General features: G+C 57.2%; 1 protein-coding gene across 3 annotated transcripts, besides 1 other annotated feature; it reads left to right on the top strand.

Moving 5' to 3' along the window:
- Window positions 10-389: a silencer, noted in NCBI's record as "silent region_9077". NCBI's record gives its function as "represses an Ori minimal core promoter by ATAC-STARR-seq in GM12878 lymphoblastoid cells {active_cell/tissue: GM12878}" and the evidence as "EXISTENCE:reporter gene assay evidence [ECO:0000049][PMID:35858748]".
- Window positions 109-18157, top strand: CANT1 (calcium activated nucleotidase 1). Of its 3 annotated transcripts, NM_001159772.2 has the most exons (6): window positions 109-209; window positions 11587-11725; window positions 11910-12033; window positions 12229-12881; window positions 14652-14855; window positions 15953-18157. In NM_001159772.2, the coding sequence occupies exons 4-6, from the start codon at window positions 12251-12253 to the stop codon at window positions 16321-16323; spliced, it is 1206 nt and encodes a 401-aa protein (NP_001153244.1). In that variant the 5' UTR covers window positions 109-209; window positions 11587-11725; window positions 11910-12033; window positions 12229-12250; the 3' UTR covers window positions 16324-18157. The 3 variants fall into 3 exon arrangements, with proteins under 3 accessions (NP_001153244.1, NP_001153245.1, NP_620148.1); NM_001159773.2 differs by lacking the exon at window positions 11587-11725; NM_138793.4 differs by lacking the exon at window positions 11587-11725 and having other exon boundaries at window positions 11910-12881.

The following is an 18848-nucleotide window of genomic DNA, read 5'->3' as shown; positions in this document are numbered from 1 at the left end:
AACACAAACCACAGCTCCCAGCAGCCCTCGCGCCGTCCGCGCGCAGCCGCAGAGCAGAGGCTGCCGGGAACGCGGGCCCAGAGGCGGGGCGAGCGCGCGCGGGGCGGAAGTCGGCCACCTTCCTCCGTCCCGGCCGTTAGCCCAGCCAAGCCCAGCCAAGCCCAGCCAAGCCCCGCCGATCGCGGGCACCGGAGCCAGCCCCGCAGCGGGTGAGTGACTGCGCCCGCGGCCGCCGGCGCCCTGCCCCAGCCACGGGCCCGGACCCCCGTCCCGGAGCCTGCCGCCGCCCTCCGACCCTGCCGCGTCCCGCCCCCTGACCCGTCAGGCCCCCTTCCCGTCCCACCCGTGCGGGATCTCTGCCCCCTGACTCGCAGACTGGGCTGGGACTCTGCCCTCTGACCTGTGGGAAAGTCCCCTTCTTCCGACAGGCGGTGGACACCACCCCCTCTGACTTTTGGGACACCTCATCCCTGGGACTAGCGTGGGGACCATTACCCTCTGGTTAGTGTGGGCACCCCTCCTCTCTAATTAGTGTGGGGACCATTCCCCTCTGATTAGTGTGGGCACCTCCCCCCTCTGATTATGTGACTCCTCCCCGCTCTGATTAGTGTGGGACACCCCCCTTCTAATTAGTTTGGGGACCATCCCCCTCTGATTACTGTGGGGCACCTCCCCGCTCTGATTAGTGTGGGGACCACCCCCCTCTGATTCATGTGGGGCACCTCCCCCTCTGGTTAGTGTGGGGACCATCCCCCTCTGATTAGTGTGGGACGCCTCCCCGCTCTGGCTAGTGTGGGGCACCCCTCCTGGGAATGACCCCCTCCCACCACCTTCTGACTTCAAATACCCCTCCTCTGGTCTATGCAGGGTCTCCTTGGACTGATAAGGGAATTTTCTCCCTCTGACTGGCACTTGGTCAAACCTGTAACAGGCCAACCTTCCCCACCCCATCCCAGTCCTTGCTCTCCCTGCCCTCATCCAATTTGGAGCCTTCCTCCAGGCACACAGCTCACTCTCATCTTCCTGCATGCAAATGATTCGCCCTCCCCACCATACCTGTCTCACACCCCTACTGCCATCCGGTCTGGATTCTCTCATCCTTGGAGACTGGTACCTCCTTGCCAGTCCATGTTGCCTGGTGCCTTTGCTTCTCCCTCCGAATGGTCTTTCCCTTGCCCTCTGTGTACCCTAGGCTTGGCACAGAGCACCTGTGACCACTCTTCCATCAGCAGACACATCTCTCTCCCAAACACCTTTCCCCCTTAGTGACCCCTGGAAAAGCCGTCTCTTAGTGTCCCAGCTCCATTTCTTATTTTATTCTTGAGGTTGTATGCCCTATGGCCTTTCCTACCACATTTTCAACAAAGCAGAGGTTTGGAAATGTGAGGCTCTTGGTGTCAAGTGAATCCGGCTAGCTCTCCAGTGTAAGGGCCCAAACTTGAAACAAGTGTCAGGTCGTAGAAGGCTCCTAAAAGGAAGCGGGTGCCGCAGCCCTTCAGGATCCGCTATCTCCCAGCTCTTCCTCCCTCTCCCTCTGAGGAGCTTTGCTGAGAAAGGTCCCTCCAGGCCTGGACCACAGACCCTCCCTGCAGCCCCACCGCAGGCCTCTCAGCAGGACAGTCTGGCTGGAGCCTGTGGAACGGCAGTGGGGCTCCTCCCAGGTGCTCCTCCCTGCTGGCCTCAATGAGCCCTCTATCCTAGCACACGCCCCTGCTGAAAGGCACACTGAAGGAGCCAACCCTCTCCCCTCTGGACGTGGCAAGGGTTTCCTGTCGGGGCAGCCCCAGGCATCTTCACGGCCAGGACTCAGGTGAAGCATGGATTTGTCCAGGCACTGTCATGAGGCCACCGCAGCAGTGTGGGGACCAACTTCTAGTGTCACTTTTTCATGTCCAAATTAACGTGATCACAAAAGAGAATGACATGTCACAAGGTGGTAGAGGGAACCCTCCACTCGCAGCGGGATAGGACCCCTGGACCCTGGGACACCTCGCTGGAGGGGCACATCTGAGGCTTGACGCTTCTGATTGCCAGAGGTCTCCTTTCTTCCCCTTAGGCTATAACCATATTTTCCTAGCCCATGGCAGCTTAGTAAATGTGTTGGTGTAAAAGCTCTTGGTACTCCAGAACGTTTTCACTCACCCGTCACTGTGCACCTGGTCTGCAGGACCCCCCTGAGCTGCAGAGTACGTGAGGAGACCCAGGGTGTGGTAGCAGCAGTTCTCCTGGCCCTGTGGGTGTTTTTACCCTGCCACCTGGATGTGGCTTTCGAGGTGTGTGTGCCTGTGCAGGCTCCCCCAAGTACATATGGCCCGTCCTCGGAGTCTCGGTACTTTCTGGCAACCGTATAGGTAGATAGGTAGATGTATAAATGCTGTAGTGTTTTCTCTTTCAAAAACAGAAGATCTGAGACTTGGAACTATTGTCCAGGTCCTGAAATGGGTCAGTACTATCACAAGGAGGTCATTTTTCTATTGTTTGTTGAATGGTACCAGGGATGCCAAGGACACACAGCATTCATTCTTTTCACTCAGTGCACTCTGAACTATCGAGATTTCCTGGAAAGCTCTTATGAAATGCCAATATCAAGGGAATTAGAAACTTTTATATTAATTCTTAAGAATGTTCATGTTGATTTTCCTTTTACTTTAATCAAGATGGTTAATTAGGAAAAAATCATCCTGGCAGTAGAGAAGTCTGTTTGGGGAGACGTTCTGTTTTTTGTTTTGGACCCTGCTCGTCTTTGTCATGCGTGCAGTGGTCATGTGGAGCGCCTGGTTCCCAGGCAGGACGCTGCTCCCCGCGTTCCTCTGGGATGGTTTTATGGGAAGTGAAGAAGGCGTTGAAGTCTGGCTTAAGACTTAAGACAGTGCGTGATGCCACCATGTGGGAGTGGGGCAGAGGTGAGACTGGGACCCCCCAGAATGGCTCTGAGGGTGTTGCCGGGTTGAGTGAAAGTCCTGGCGATTCGGCCTTTGTGTCCCGGGAGCCGAGCCTGGAGGAAAGCGTGAGGAGAGAAGGTGGCAGTAAGCAGGTGGGCTCGTGCAGGTGCCACCGCGGTGTGGAAGGCAGCCCTGATCCAGGTCCATGGGGCGATGATCCCATCCCGTTATTTTCACACACTCTGGAAAAGGACACCTTCCCAGATGTGTGGTGCCATTTGGAATGTGCCTTTCAACTGAGAAGGTCGCCTTTTGGCTAAAATTCCTCCAGGTGTAACATCGATGATACAAATTAAGCAGACACAGCCTCTTTACAAGGCAGTAACTGCAAACCGTAGAGGGTTCTGAAGCTGTGCGCCCACACCATAGACAGTGACTGGTCCTGGCCCTTGGAAAAACCTGGAGGCTCTTTCCCCTCTTCCTCCTGTGATTGGTGGAGGAACAGCTCCCCGAGATGTCCACGTCCTACCTTCTGAGCCTGTGAATATGTTACATTACATGGCAAAGGGGAATTAAGGTTGCTGATCAGCCGGCCTTAAAGTAGTGAGATGATCCTGGATTTTCCCAGGGAGCCCAGTGTAATCACAGGGTCCTTAAGAACAGAAGAGGGAAGCAGAAGAGCCGGAGGGAGATGATGGCCAAGAGCCTTGGGGAAGTGCAGTGGGCGGGCTTTGGAGGGGGAGGAGGGGCCACCAGGCAGGGAATGTGGGTGCCTCCAGAAGCTGGAAGAGGCATGAGAATGGAGCCATGGCCCGTGTGAGGCTTCTGTCCCACAGGACGGTGCCTGCTGCCTGCCGTGTGCTGGATACTAGGGGCGGGGACAGGTGCAGAAGTCAGTCAGATCCTGAGCTTGACCTTTAAGGAGCGTGCTGTCTGTGGAGGCAGGATGGCCTAACCAGACTCCCTGTGACCTTCTTCCTTTCTGGTTTCCTTGTACTGCCCACCCCCGAGGAGATTTGCCGTGGAATTTGCAGGTACAATAGTTAGCCTTGCAAGTGCCAAAGCAGGAATCAGGTAACGTTTTCAAGGAGTCTGGCCCATAGCAGGCATTAATAAGTGTTTCTTTGAGATGCGCCACCCGTGTTCTCTCAGGCGCTGTTAGCATGAGTGTGTGAAGGCCTTGGCTTCTGCCTTGGCTGTGCTGAAGAGTCTGTAGGTCAGTGGGGTTTGCTCTTTACCATGGCAGTGAACACAGTGGGCACTCTGAGGCCTGCCTGCCTGCTCTCTGGGTGTGGGAAGGGAAAGGAAGGTAGCTCTTCTCCAGAGATAAGGGGTTGGCGCACCTGCCACCTGCCTACCCGTCCCTTCCAAGGAGGTGGGGGCTAGGATGTGGCGGCCTCTTAACAGGATGATGTGGCTTCCTGCCCTGCCTGGATCCTGAAAGGGAGGAGCCTGGCAGCCCTCAGTAAACCTGCTGGTTCTGCCACCTGTCCTATTCCACTCCTGCAGGAAGCTGGAGAAACAAACCCTCTTGGCTGTCTGCTGTCCAGGGAGTCGCCACTCCCTTCATTATAGCCTTGCTCAGAGTGCAGCGGCAGGCCTGGGGATGGCCTCGGGAGGTAGGTGGCCCCTGAGCCCTTCTCCTGGGAAAGGGCAGCAGCAGGGAGACGCCTCCTGGGTGTGCACAGAGAAAAGCACAGTTTCCCTAACTCCCCGCTCCCTAACTCCTCGCTCTTTAACTCTCACCTCCCTAACTCCCCCCTCCCTAACTCCCTTCTCCCTAACTCCCCTCTCCCTAACTCCCTTCCCTAACTCCCCTCTCCTTAACTCCTCTCCCTAACTCCCCCCTCCCTAAATCCCCTCTCCCTAACTCCCTTCTCCCTAACCCCCCTCTCCCTAACTCCCCTCCCTAACTCCCCCTTCCCTAACCCCCCTCTCCCTAGCTCCCCTCTCCCTAACTCCCTTCTCCCTAACTCCCCTCCCTAACTCCCCTCTCCCTAACCCCCCTCTCCCTAACTCCCATCTCCCTAACTCCCCCCTCCCTAACTCCTTGCTCCATAACTCCCCCCCAGCTCCCCTCTCCCTAACTCCCCTCCCTAACTCCCCTCTCCTTAACTCCTCTCCCTAACTCCCCCCTCCCTAAATCCCCTCTCCCTAACTCCCCTCCCTAACTCCCCTCCCTAACTCCCCCTTCCCTAACCCCCCTCTCCCTAGCTCCCCTCTCCCTAACTCCCTTCTCCCTAACTCCCCTCCCTAACTCCCCTCTCCCTAACCCCCCTCTCCCTAACTCCCATCTCCCTAACTCCCCCCTCCCTAACTCCTTGCTCCATAACTCCCCCCCAGCTCCCCTCTCCCTAACTCCCCTCTCCCTAACTCCCCTCCCTAACTCCCCTCTCCTTAACTCCTCTCCCTAACTCCCCCCTCCCTAACTCCCCTCTCCCTAACTCCCCTCCCTAACTCCCTTCTCCCTAACCCCCCTCTCCCTAACTCCCCCCTCCCTAACTCCCCTCTCCCTAACTCCCCTCCCTAACTCCCCTCTCCTTAACTCCTCTCCCTAACTCCCCCCTCCCTAACTCCCCTCTCCCTAACTCCCCTCCCTAACTCCCTTCTCCCTAACCCCCCTCTCCCTAACCCCCCTCTCCCTAACTCCCCTCCCTAACCTCCCTCTCCCTAACTCCCCTCTCCCTAACTCCCCTCCCTAACTCCCCCCTCCCTAACTCCTCTCCCTAACTGTCCTCTCCCTAGCTCCCCTCTCCCTAACTCTCCTCTCCCTAACTCCCCTCCCTAACCTCCCTCTCCCTAACTCCCCTCTCCCTAACCCCCCTCTCCCTAACACCCCTCCCTAACTCCCCCCCAACTCCTCTCCCTAACTCCCCTCTCCCTAACTCCCCTCCCTAACTCCCCTCCCTAACTCCCCTCTCCCTAACTCCCCCTCCCTAACTCCCCACTCACTAACTCCCCTCTCCCTAACTCCCCTCTTCCTAACTCCCCTCCCCAATTCCCCCCTCCCTAACTCCCCCCCAACTCCCTACTCCCTAACTCCCCGCTCCCTAACTCCCAGCTCCCTCACTGGTGGCTCCCCTGCGCTCTGGGAGTGTCCTGTGGGATGGACAGATGCCTCCGTGGTGCCTTGCAAGCCTTGCAGGTGGTTATTCCTCCTGTGAGTGCTCCTGTGAGTGCTCTCCAGGCAGCAGCAGGGGTCCTGTCCCTGTAGGCCCCTGAGTCTGGGAGATAGCTGGTTTGCAGCCCCACTGAACAGGAGAGCCTGGCTGGCCACAGAACCCATGACTTTGCTGTAGTCCCTGAGTCCTCTTGTTGCTGATTATCTAAAATCAAACCATTACTCTGCAGGCACTGGGTTTGTCAATCTTTTCACAATAAAGCGAGCATTTAAACTGCTTAAGCTTTGAGGGGTGTAGGGAGAAGCCTCACACGAGCCCCTTCTGGAAAGGACTTTGTCCATCTTGTGTCTTACCCTCGCCGGTTCATTTCTGTTGTTTCTGGCTGGCAACAAACAAAAGAGCCCCCCCACCCCCCACCCCCGAAAAAGAACCCAGCTTTTTAAAGAACATGCAAACTCTTGCCTGCAGCAGGCGCCGGCAGCCAGGCACCCCGGCAGCCAGTGGTAGCTCATACACCAGCATGGGCTGTGGCAAAGGCATCTGATTTGAAATTTTTTTGCAAAATAAAATAATTCCTTGGGGTCCTGAAGGAGAGATGAAGCCCAAGGGAAGGTGTTCTGGTGCTGAAGTTAAAGGAATTTTCTGGAAGGTACACAGAGTTCTCTTGTCACTAGAAGCAGTCCCTTGTTTAACCAAAGGTGGCTGAGGCCCTGGCGTCTCTGCCCCTCTGTTAGCTCTGGGGAATCAGCGTGACCTCGAGGTAACACTGACCACACGGGACTGTTCAAAGTCTGTCTCCCCAACTGTGCTGAGCTCCTGGAGGAAAGGCCCCTGCCTCCGTCACACTGATTCCCCAGAGGGGCAGAGACGCCGGGACTCAGACACCTCTGGTTCCATGTGGTCAGAGGACATGAGCCTCCCGGGTGGGGAGCGTGTGCCACGGTGTAGATGCCAGGAGTCTGGAATAGGAAGGCGTGCAGTGTTGCACAGCGACCTGGGAGAGGTCCTGCTCCTGGGAGTGCAGGGGGAAAAACCCACTGAGGCTTTCTCTGCAGGCTGAGACGTTTGTCCTTCAGATGGAAGGCATTGGGATCTACTAGACTTGGAATCCAGACTTGCTTTTTGGAAAAATTATTCTGTCAGTTTTGTGGAGGGTGATTTGAGATGGTCTTGACCAGGGATCTGTCGAGGGACAGGGAGTCAGTATTTTCAGCCTCCACAGTCTGTTGCGACCACTCAACGGTGCAGCCAGACTCAGCATGCCAGGGAGGAGTCCTAGCTGGCTTTAATCAGCCACATCTACACACCAGGACGTGACTACACAGCAGGCCGCGTCTACGCAGGCCGCGTCTACACACCAGGCAGAGTCTACACACCAAGCTGCAACCACATACCAGGCCACACAGGCCGCATCTACACACTAGGCGGGAGACTGCATTTGGCCCACGGGTGGTAGTTTGCAACCCTCCCAGCAGGCGAGAGGGTACTTGTAGAGTGAGTGAGAAGCAGTAGCAGTCAGCCCCTGTGCACAGTTCTCTAACCCCATCAGCATGGCTCCGGGAAGTAAACTGAGGCCAAGGGAAGTCCCTTGGCTGAGCCCAGATGGTCTATATCAGGGGTGTCCAATCTTTTGGCTTCCCTGGGCCACATTGGAAGAAGAATTGTCTTGGGCCACACATAAAATCCATTGATAGCTGATGAGCTTAACAAAAAATCTCATCTCATCATGTTTTAAGAAAGTTTACGAATTTGTGTTGGACCACATGTTGGACAAGCTTGGTCTAGATCATTAGACCAAGACTCTGAGAGTCATCAGGGTGAGATGGAACTGGAGCCGAGGCTGTGTGGATGGGGAGAAGGGAAGCGAGTCTCAAGCTGGGTGGGACACGTGGGGCTGGGGAGGGAGGAGGGTTAGGACGAATTGCTTCCTGGGATGGCTCCTGAGGGCCGGCACTGCCAGGACAGGGAGTTCCTGAGGAGGACCTGGTTTGCGGTGCCTGTGGGTATCGGATGAGGAGGCTCAGAGACTAGGTCAGGCTAGAAAGGCGTGGGGGTCTTCACCTTAGAGGGCAGGCCCTGGGAGAGGTCAGTGGGCTGCCAGCAGTGGGGGCCGAGAAGACCTGCCTGGGAGGAGGCCCACAGAGAGTGCCCCCCTGCCTCGAGGAGGGACACTGACAATGTGCTCACTGGGTTTGCCACTGGTGAAGGCTTCAGGTGGCTGCTTCTGAGGATTAGCCAGAGGGAAGGAGAGGGTGTAGGTGTGGGTGCTCTTGTACCATGGTGGGCGAGGGGGCCTGGGCGGGGGTGGGAAGGGACAGAGGTGCCGGGGACTCAGGGAAGGGTTTTCCTTCATTAACAGATTCGCCATTTATTCAGCAGCAGTTGAGTGTCTGTGGGAGTGTGGGGTCTGGAGGTAAAATGGTGACAAGGTGGGCGACTTGGGGCAGCCTGTGGATGGAAGGGAGGAACCAGAAGAGCAGGTGCCCGGCGGCTGGGGGGACTGACCTGAGTGGCAGGTGTGAGCCCCACCCAGGGGCCTCGGCTGCTGAAGTTGGCCACAGAGTGGTCTCCTGGGAGAAGTGGGCCGGAGATTTGACAGGAATGGTGAAGGTGAGGACAGTGGCTCTCCGGAGTGCTGAGGGAGTTGAACAGGGAAGAACATGGGGGTTCCAGGGGCTGGTGACGACGACACCTCACGATGTCTGACAGCAGTCTATGCAGGCACCGTTGTTCTGTGCTGGCAAGCACCGTCTTCCCGGGCCTGCAGCTCAGATGTGGCAGCTGAGCAGCTCGATCTTTGGGGTGCTTGATCCAGGTTGTGGGTTCATAATATGCCTAAGGTGGGGCCCCCGGTAGAGTGCAGAGGGGCTGTTGAAGAAGTGGCTAATGGCTCACCTGGCATCTCTTTCCCTTCAGCCAATGCGTGCAGACTGTCTGCTCCCTGCCTGGCAGTGCGTCAGGTGCTGGGGCTGTGACAGTGGCCAGATCCCTGCCCCAGGAGCAGAAATAATCACCTAGCCAGGCAGGGACGGTGGGAGAGCCGGAGCGGCATGGGAGGGAGGGCGAGTGGGCAAGTCTTCCCAGGGAGCTGATGCCCCGTAGGAGAGACCGAGCTGCTGGTGCGAAGAGCAGGCCCGACTGTTCCAGGCAGGGGGAACTGCAGGCTCTGCCAGGGCCAGTGTGGTCAGGGGACAGAAGGAGGTCTATGTAGCCAGCCGGCAGGCAGAGGAGATGGTACAGTGTGAGGGCTGAGCGGGAGCAGAGTGGGTTCACCCCAGGACCTGAGGAAGCCGCTGAAGCTGGGAGTGTGCCATCTGATGGATGCTACTTCATGGCAGGTGGCGAGGGAGTGTCAGGGGATGTTGGTGGGGGGCAGCTGGCAGGGCAACTTCATGGCGGGGGGTATGGGAGTGTCAGGGGCGGAGAGGCAGGAGGGGTGGAGGGAGGCAGCCGGCATGGCATGGTGAGGAAGGGCCATGGAAGAGGACAGAACCTGTCCACGGAGTCAATGCTGAGGAAGGAAGACGGAGGATGAGGCCAGTCAGGTTTTTCGTGGTGGCAGTGCCTTATGTTTTTATCGAAGTGTATATTCACACAGAAAAGCACATCTCCCAGGATCCTGAGAGAGCTTGAACCAGACCACTGTGGACACGGTGGCCACCCGTCACCACTACCCTTCCCAAGGGGAGACGAGGAGCAAGTAGGCTTGAGGGAAAAGCTGCACAGGACTCGTGTCTTGAAATGTCTAAGACGCATGTCAGAAATGCAGGTAAGGGGGGGTGCGGGTGCTCGCACCTGTGATCCCAGCACTTTGGGAGGCTGAGGCAGGAGGATCACTTGAGCCCAGGAGTTCAAGACTGGCCTGGACAATATAACGAGGCCTCATCTCTATAAAAAAAATTAAAAATTAGCTGTGCCCCAGGTGTGTTGGCTCACACCTGTAATCCTGGCACTTTGGGAGGCCAAGGCAGGTGGATCACCTGAGGTCAGGAGTTCAAGACCAGCCTGACCAACATGGAGAAACTGCATCTCTACTAAAAATACAAAATTAGACGGGCGTGGTGGTGCATGCCTGTAATCCCAGCTACTAGGGAATCTGAGGCAGGAGAATCACTTGAACCCAGGAGGCGGAGGTTGCAGTGAGCCGAGATCGTGCCATTGCACTCCAGCCTAGGCAATAAGAGGAAAACTCTGTCTCCAAAAAAAAAAAAAAAAAAAAAAAAAAATTCGCTGTGCGTGGTGGCACACGCCTGTAGTCCCAGCTACTTGGGAGGCTGAGGTGGGAGGATCGCTTGAGCCTCAGAGGTTGAGGCTGCAGTGAGCGTGATCACTGTTGCCTGGGCAACAGAGCGAGGCCCTATCTCAGAAAAACAAAAAAAGAAATGTAGGCGGGATTGGCATAGCAGGTAAGATAGAGTAATTCGAGCTCAGTGGAGACTTCTTGGGCCTGGCTGGGGTTTTGAGGCCTTGGGACTAGAAAAGGGGCAGGGCCTGGATGCAGTCAGAGGAGGATGTCCAGCACGGGGAACCCCAGCCCTGCTGCCGGGAAGGCCCCGGTGATCAGCCCTGTGACCACCTCAGGGGGTCCTGAGAGGCCTGCCCCTTAAAGGGAGCATGGAGTCTTCCCTGCGGGCCTGGAGGAACTGCTGGCAGCCCCCCTGTGCTGTTAGGAGGATCACTCTGAGCAGCAGGTTCCACGTATGTGCCTTGTTCACTCCTTGAACCTCACCCTGGGGCTAAAACCTAGGACTGTCCGAAAGTTCCATGTGGAATTGTCACCCTGTTTTTGTATCTTCTCAGCCCAGCAGGCTGCGGCGTGGAGAAGGGGGTGTCTCTGGTGGGGGTGTCTGTTGCTGGCTGCCGTGCACCAGGGCCTCGTGGTCCACATATTTGGGGCCCAGAATTGCACGGAGCCACTGGAGTCCCCAAGCCCTTCCCAGGCGCCCTGGCAGGGAGGACAGCGTCTGCCCATAAAGGCACATGTTTGCTGCTTTGTTGTTTTCTCAAGGAGGACCCAGCCAGGGAAGCTTCTCAGGCCGGGATTCACTGAGCTATAGTTGGAGGGCAGAGATATGGAACCTCTGCCCAGGGCCAGTGTTCTCGATCGAAGCACCGGGAGCTGTCTCCCCACGCCCCACTGTGGCACTTGGCGGCTGTCCAGAGACAGGCAGCTCTCACCAAGGCGGCGCAGACGTGGGCCTGGTGCCCCATGGCTGCACTGAGCCATCATGCTGTATGCCCGGGAAGTGGGCTTGGCGACAGCAGTGAAGGGCTGCAGTTCCTGGCCGCCACCAGCACCCTGACCCTGGGGCTCTGCCACAGAGCCACGCCTGGGGTGGAGGGTGAGCTGGGAGAGGCCTGCGGCCGAGCCAGGCCCCGCAGTGAGCCGAGCAGTTCTTTGGCGCCAAGGCACAGACACGCTGGCCTCCAGGCAGTCAGGGCAGCGCAGACTCTGGTCCCTGCAGTCATTTGCATTAATAGAAAGGCGCCAGGGGACAGACACTGCCAAAAACAACAACAGATACGAAAAAGAAGGAGTGTTTTTATTTGGTTTGGATGTGTTTGGTATTCCAATGCTGCAGGAGCCTAACCCAGAGGAAGTGGAGACTCCTTTACTGCACATCTGTCTGCTCCAGGCCAGGCACTGTTCTAGGAGCCAGGATACAGAGGTGGAGACAGAAACAAACAAACCGATAACTGTATACAATACTCTAACGTCAGGTGGGGACAAGGGCCAAGGACCCAGGGACGGAGGGTGATGTCTGCAGCAGGGCAGTCAGGGAGGGCTTCCTGGATGAGGTGGCATTTGAGTAAAATACAGACCTGTACCCTGTCTATGATCCTATCCCACTTCACCCCGTCAGCCTTCCCCTCCCACCTGACTCTCCTGCGCTTCTCTCTTTAGAGGGACCACAGAGCACCAGCCTGCATGGAACTTCCTTCCTCACTCAGCTTCCCACGTTGCCAGCTGGGACAGGGGAGATGGAGTAATTTTGCTGTGGAAAGACTTCACGTCTTGCCGAATGAAAGTAAGCAAAGATACTGCTAGAGTCGGGAATCTAGAGTCGGGAATTCATTAAGCCAAGGGAGTAAGAATGGCCACAGAGTAGTGAAATACTGTTTCTTCTGGAAAAGTCAGCCTCCAGCGCCTGCAGCTTCCGGAACTAAGATGTGACTGGGCTTGCGGAGGCGCTGACTCCTCTCCTCCCTCCCTGGCTGTGCAGGTCCCGCCTGTCTGTCACGCTGATGCCCGTGCAGCTGTCTGAGCACCCGGAATGGAATGAGTCTATGCACTCCCTCCGGATCAGTGTGGGGGGCCTTCCTGTGCTGGCGTCCATGACCAAGGCCGCGGACCCCCGCTTCCGCCCCCGCTGGAAGGTGATCCTGACGTTCTTTGTGGGTGCTGCCATCCTCTGGCTGCTCTGCTCCCACCGCCCGGCCCCCGGCAGGCCCCCCACCCACAATGCACACAACTGGAGGCTCGGCCAGGCGCCCGCCAACTGGTACAATGACACCTACCCCCTGTCTCCCCCACAAAGGACACCGGCTGGGATTCGGTATCGAATCGCAGTTATCGCAGACCTGGACACAGAGTCAAGGGCCCAAGAGGAAAACACCTGGTTCAGTTACCTGAAAAAGGGCTACCTGACCCTGTCAGACAGTGGGGACAAGGTGGCCGTGGAATGGGACAAAGACCATGGGGTCCTGGAGTCCCACCTGGCGGAGAAGGGGAGAGGCATGGAGCTATCCGACCTGATTGTTTTCAATGGGAAACTCTACTCCGTGGATGACCGGACGGGGGTCGTCTACCAGATCGAAGGCAGCAAAGCCGTGCCCTGGGTGATTCTGTCCGACGGCGACGGCACCGTGGAGAAAGGTAACTGGACCCTGAGGTTTTATGGAGGTGTGGGTGGGGAGTGGGAGCTCAGGGCCTGGCTGGCAAACACAGGCACATGGTAAAGAATTCACACACCTAGAAGCCAGGGATGTGGTGAGGGAGCACGTCTCCCTCTTGCTCTGACCTGCGGCCCCCTTACCCTTAGCCAGGAGCATAGCCTACTGTCACTTCACACTGAGCAGTTTCTAGGAGGAAGAGCTTATCGCTAGAGGCCTGTGGGAGACGTGGGGAATCTCTCCAAGATGTTTTCGGCTGTATCCGCTGCTGCTCTCGGAGCCTCTGGGAACACGCCCTTTTTACACCTTCAAAGGTTCTCAAGACCACGCTAGGATGTGCCTACCAGGAGCCTTGCCCTGAAAGCCATGGGGACAGATGGTTCTCACTCAAAACCCAGACTTTGGTTTCATGTTACTGAAGGGTAAACTGCTGCCCAGCCCTCCTCTCCCTGAACCCCAGCAGGGGGAGGGCATGTGTGAGCTGTGCCAACCCCCCTGGAGTGGAGCCTGATGCCAGCCTTTTTGTTCACCAGAAAGGAGGTGCTGCTTCCACAGGGCAGGGACAGGCTTTGGGGAGGCACGGTGGCCAGTGTCTTCCTCCAGAGAGGAGCTGGGGAGGTGCCAAGGACGCTGGCAGAGGAGCTGCCAGCTCCTCTGAGCTCCGTTTGTCTGAGCTGGCGGTGGATCCCCACCTTCTAGAAAGCTAAATGCCACCGCAGGCTTTCTGAGGTCAAGGAGGAACTGCACTAAACAACGGCCCACACAGTTCATGGCCGGCCAGGCCCTCCCCACACCCGGTGATAAAATCTTCAGTGTTTGCCCAGGGCTGGGCAGGGGACGGACCTCACCTGAGGTATCAACTGAGGCGTTGGTCGCCTACTTCCTGCCTCGCACTTGTCAGGGTTTTAGGCAACCCTAGTGTAGTTCTGTCCTTCCCTTGGATAGGGAGGAAAGCGGGGTACAGGGAGCTCTGGGGTTGGGCTGTACTCAGGTCATCCGGGAGGGATGGAAGACCCTGGCATGGAGAATGTCTCATCGCACAAGCAGACCAGGAGACCGCAGGTCCCTCCAGGGCCCTGCAGAGAAGCTACTACAGTCTCGGGCAGTTCAGAGGGCACAGCTCCAGCTCTCAGGGGCAAGAAGCTGGCAAAATTTGGGGAAAGCAAACAGAAGTTAGAACACCAGGGTGTAGGGATGATAAGAATACACGGTAGAACACAGGCTCCCACACAGCCTGAACTGTGGCAGCCTTCAAAGTTAGGCTTATTTTAAATAAATCAGTTTAAAAAAAGCAAAAACAGCTTCTGAACAAATCCATTGAAAGGAAGACTGGGAGCCCCAGCACCAAGCCCCTCTCCGGCCACTGGAGTTAGAGTGATGCTCGGTGAGACCTCAGGTGTGGCCGAGGGCAGCACCCGCACTCCCCTGGGACACACGTGCCCCTTCAGAGTGCTGTCACTTTTCAGCTTTTCTAGCCTTTAAGGATAATCCTAAGGTTGGGGTTACAGCTTGAGGAGCGGGGAGTTGGGGATCAGAGGAGACTTGAGAGTGGTCACTGAACCTTCAGGAGCTGAGGGGAGGGCAGCCGGCCGGCCCTGGGCGGGAGCCAGGTGCGGGCCGGAGGGGAGGCAGGTGTGGAGCCGGGCGGGAGTCAGGTGCGGGGTCTAAGGACAGGTGCGGGGCCGGGTGGGAGCCAGGTGCAGGGGTGCGGCGGGAGCTGGGTGCGGGGCCTAAGGACACTCTGCTTGGCCAGGCTTCAAGGCCGAATGGCTGGCAGTGAAGGACGAGCGTCTGTACGTGGGCGGCCTGGGCAAGGAGTGGACGACCACTACGGGTGATGTGGTGAACGAGAACCCGGAGTGGGTGAAGGTGGTGGGCTACAAGGGCAGCGTGGACCACGAGAACTGGGTGTCCAACTACAACGCCCTGCGGGCTGCTGCCGGCATCCAGCCGCCAGGTAAGAGACGCCTGCCCCAGCCCACAGTGTGGCTTCCACAGCCCAGTCGCTGGGAACCTGCTTCCTCCTGCATTTGCCTCCAAAACCGTTTTTTATTTTAGACATAGTCTTGCTCTGTCACCCCGGTTAGAGTGCAGTGGCACGATCTCAGCTCACTGCAACCTCCACCTCCTGGGTTCAAACGATTTTTCTGCCTCAGCCTCCCCAGTAGCTGGGACTACAGGTGTGCACCACCACGCCCAGCTAATTGTATTTTTAGTGGAGACAGGGTTTCACCATGTTGCCCAGGATGGTCTCGAACTCCTGACTTCGGGTGATCTGGTGATCCACCTGCCTCGGCCTCCCAAAGTGCTGGCATTACGGGCGCGAGCCACCACACCCAGCCTCCAAGGCCGTTTCTTGCTTGATTTTAGTGATTTTGGTTGCCTCTGATGGTGGCTTCCCTCAGGCCAGTGGATTCTGGCGGCAAATGAGCTGTTTTCTCTTTCCTGCCCCACTCGCCCTGGCAGCTGGCCTCCTAGCATCCCAGCCTGTGGCCCGGTTGTCTGCACTGGTGGGTCAGGCCCTGTCCCTACCCCTGGCGCTGGGCCGTGGTGTTCCACACCAACATAGGGCCAGCAGCACTTTGGCCTCCCCCTAGTCAGGATGGAGTAGGCCTTAGGTGCCTGAGGTTCAGGAGGAAGTGACTGAGTCTGTGCCTGGGGCCCCAGACGCTGTCTCCTCTTCCTTGCAGCCTCAAGGCAGCCTCCCCGCCGATGCCTCCCCACATCCAATGGGGGTTTGTTCCCTTTCCTTGGGTTCCTCTGGATCAGCCCCGAGGAGGCTCCGATGAGCCCAAATCCCTGATGCAGCTCACAGGCAGCTCTCGGTGGAACGGGAGGAGGCTTCAAGGGAGCGGGTGCTGCAGGTTCCCTGCATGGGATAACCGAGAACACAGAACCTTCCAGAATCCTGGAGAGCAGGGAGGGGCGGGTTGCTGTGAGCTGGTGGGCCCTGGTGGTCGCAGCCCCTTGCCTGCTACTGCGCACGGCCTGATGGTGTGGGGCTGGGCACACCAGGCCGCATGCGTGTCTGACCCGCGGTCACCCGGTTCCCAGGCTACCTCATCCATGAGTCTGCCTGCTGGAGTGACACGCTGCAGCGCTGGTTCTTCCTGCCGCGCCGCGCCAGCCAGGAGCGCTACAGCGAGAAGGACGACGAGCGCAAGGGCGCCAACCTGCTGCTGAGCGCCTCCCCTGACTTCGGCGACATCGCTGTGAGCCACGTCGGGGCGGTGGTCCCCACTCACGGCTTCTCGTCCTTCAAGTTCATCCCCAACACCGACGACCAGATCATTGTGGCCCTCAAATCCGAGGAGGACAGCGGCAGAGTCGCCTCCTACATCATGGCCTTCACGCTGGACGGGCGCTTCCTGTTGCCGGAGACCAAGATCGGAAGCGTGAAATACGAAGGCATCGAGTTCATTTAACTCAAAACGGAAACACTGAGCAAGGCCATCAGGACTCAGCTTTTATAAAAACAAGAGGAGTGCACTTTTGTTTTGTTTTGTTCTTTTTGGAACTGTGCCTGGGTTGGAGGTCTGGACAGGGAGCCCAGTCCCGGGCCCCATAGTGGTGCGGGCACTGGACCCCCGGGCCCCACGGAGGCCGCGGTCTGAACTGCTTTCCATGCTGCCATCTGGTGGTGATTTCGGTCACTTCAGGCATTGACTCAAGGCCTGCCTAACTGGCTGGGTCGTTTCTTCCATCCGACCTCGTTTCTTTTCTTTCCTATGTTCTTTTGTTCAGTGAATATCCCTAGAGCTCCTACCATATGTCAGGCCCTATGCCTCACCCTGAGAACGCAGTGAGCATGAGGTGGACCTGTTTGCTGGGAACCCCAGGTCACCCCCTTTTCTTCCTACTCTGTGCCTGGAGCATCATGTCCACCCCTGCAGATCCTTGGAAAAGAAAATGTTTATGTTGCAGGGTATTGCATGGTCACGAGTGAGGGCAGGCCCCTGGGGACACATCTGCCCACAGCTGCACAGGCCAGGGCGCAGGCACATCTGTTGGTTCTCAGGCCTCAGATAAAACCATCTCCGCATCATATGGCCAGTGACCGCTTTCTCCCTTCAAGAAAATTCTGTGGCTGTGCAGTACTTTGAAGTTTTAATTATTAACCTGCTTTAATTAAAGCAGTTTCCTTTCTTATAAAGTGGAATCACCAAATCTTATCACACAGAGCACAGTCCTGTAGTTACCCAGCCCGCTCCAGCAGTGCGGGAGATTGTAAGGAAGCGGTGGCGGCTGGTGAAGCAAGTCTCACATGTCGGCGTTCTTGGCCAATGGATACAAAGATAAAGAAAATGTTGCCTTTTTCTAGGAACTGTCAGAAATCCTCATGCCTTTCAAGACTTCTGTGAATGACTTGAATTTTTTATTCCCTGCCTAGGGTCTGTGAACGAGGCCTGTCTCTTCCCTGGGGTTTCTTTCCATGGCCTTTATTTCTCCTCTTCCAGTGGGAGTTTTGCAGGCTCTTCTCTGTGGAAACTTCACGAGCGTTGGCTGGGCCTCGGCTTCGCTGGAGTGTACTCCAGGGTGAAGGCAGAGTGGGATTTGAGACCCAGGTTAGGCACGACCCAGGCTGAGAAGGGACGTTTCCATCATTCACAGTGCCCTCCCCACAGCACTACCTCACCCCGACCCCCACCCTCACTCCTACCCCACCCCGCGATCGTCAGGGGTGCCACGGTGGGCCGGAGGGTGCCGGCTCTGGCTGTCCCTGTGCCGGTCCCTCACAAACCTCTCCCCCTTTGAAACTCAAGCACAGCTGCGAGGAGGGCAGCGAGGAGGGACCCCTCTCTCATGGTTGTCTCTTTCCCCCGCTATGTCATAGGTAGTGGAGGAAGCGAAGGAAGTGAACGCTGAATGTGACGCATTTCTGAAGAGCTCAGCTGTCACCGGGCATAGCCTGGAAGCCCCAAGTCTGTTCTGACTTTGCCTGGCTGTCTCCTTGACCCGCCTCCTAGATCATTGTCCTTGATGTCCAGGCTGGGTCATTTAAAATAGAGATGCAATCAGGAAGGTTGGGGGACTTGGGACTGTGGCTGAATTGAGACCTTGCTGATGTATTCATGTCAGCACCTGAGTCACAGCCCAGGTGCCCGGAAGCAGCCTCTTCGCATAGGCAGTGATTTGCGATTACTTTAAAGCTCACCTTTTTTCTTCCCCTCTCTGTTCGCTGCTGTCAGCATAATGATTGTGTTCCTTCCCTATGGGATCCATCTGTTTTGTAAACAATAAAGCGTCTGAGGGAGTGTAGTTTTCTGTCTCCCGGTCTGTGCTGACTGTTTGCAGAGGCCTGGCCACGAGAGCGCCTGCGCAGGATGCTGGGCATGCGCACGGGAGTCGCCCGCCAGGGCATCCCATCTGGAAACTGCGTCCTCCAGTCCGCCTTGTCCCACTATCTCAAGGCGCTCCAAGAGCACGAGCGCTGTGGTCAGAAAGGTGGGGTCTGAAGCCACTGCAAGCCCGATCCTGGCTCTGTCCCCATCCAGCTGCATGTCCTTAGGCAAATGACCTAACTTTCCTGTGCTTCAGTGTCCTCGTCTGCAAAAGGATGCTCATCGCAGAGCTCATCCCGGGGCTGCAGTGAACGGTAAGTGACTGGGTACGCGCAAGGGGCTTAGAACATCACCTGACGTGTGCTGGGCACCCACGTGCCCGTTTTGTTGCTGCTCATCCCTGGGGAGCCATCTGGATGACTTGGTAAGGAGGCGCTCAGGTGAGAGGTCAGGGCTGAGCTGGTGTCTTTAGTGTGTCAGTGAGTCCACAGGAACAGACGAGGTCGCTCCAAGTGACGCATGGAAGAATCCCCATCACTGAAACCACAGGCGCCAGGGAGGCAGGCACTGGCCAAGAAAGACCTCAACTAGAGACAGGACAGGGGCGGCCAGAGAGGGACAGAAAACCGGGAGAGCGGAATCAGAAAGGGCAATTGCACCCACATCGA

Source organism: Homo sapiens, chromosome 17 (assembly GCF_000001405.40).
Source record: "Homo sapiens chromosome 17, GRCh38.p14 Primary Assembly".
Lineage (NCBI taxonomy): Eukaryota > Metazoa > Chordata > Mammalia > Primates > Hominidae > Homo > Homo sapiens.
This window is presented reverse-complemented; position numbering and strand designations above follow the sequence as displayed.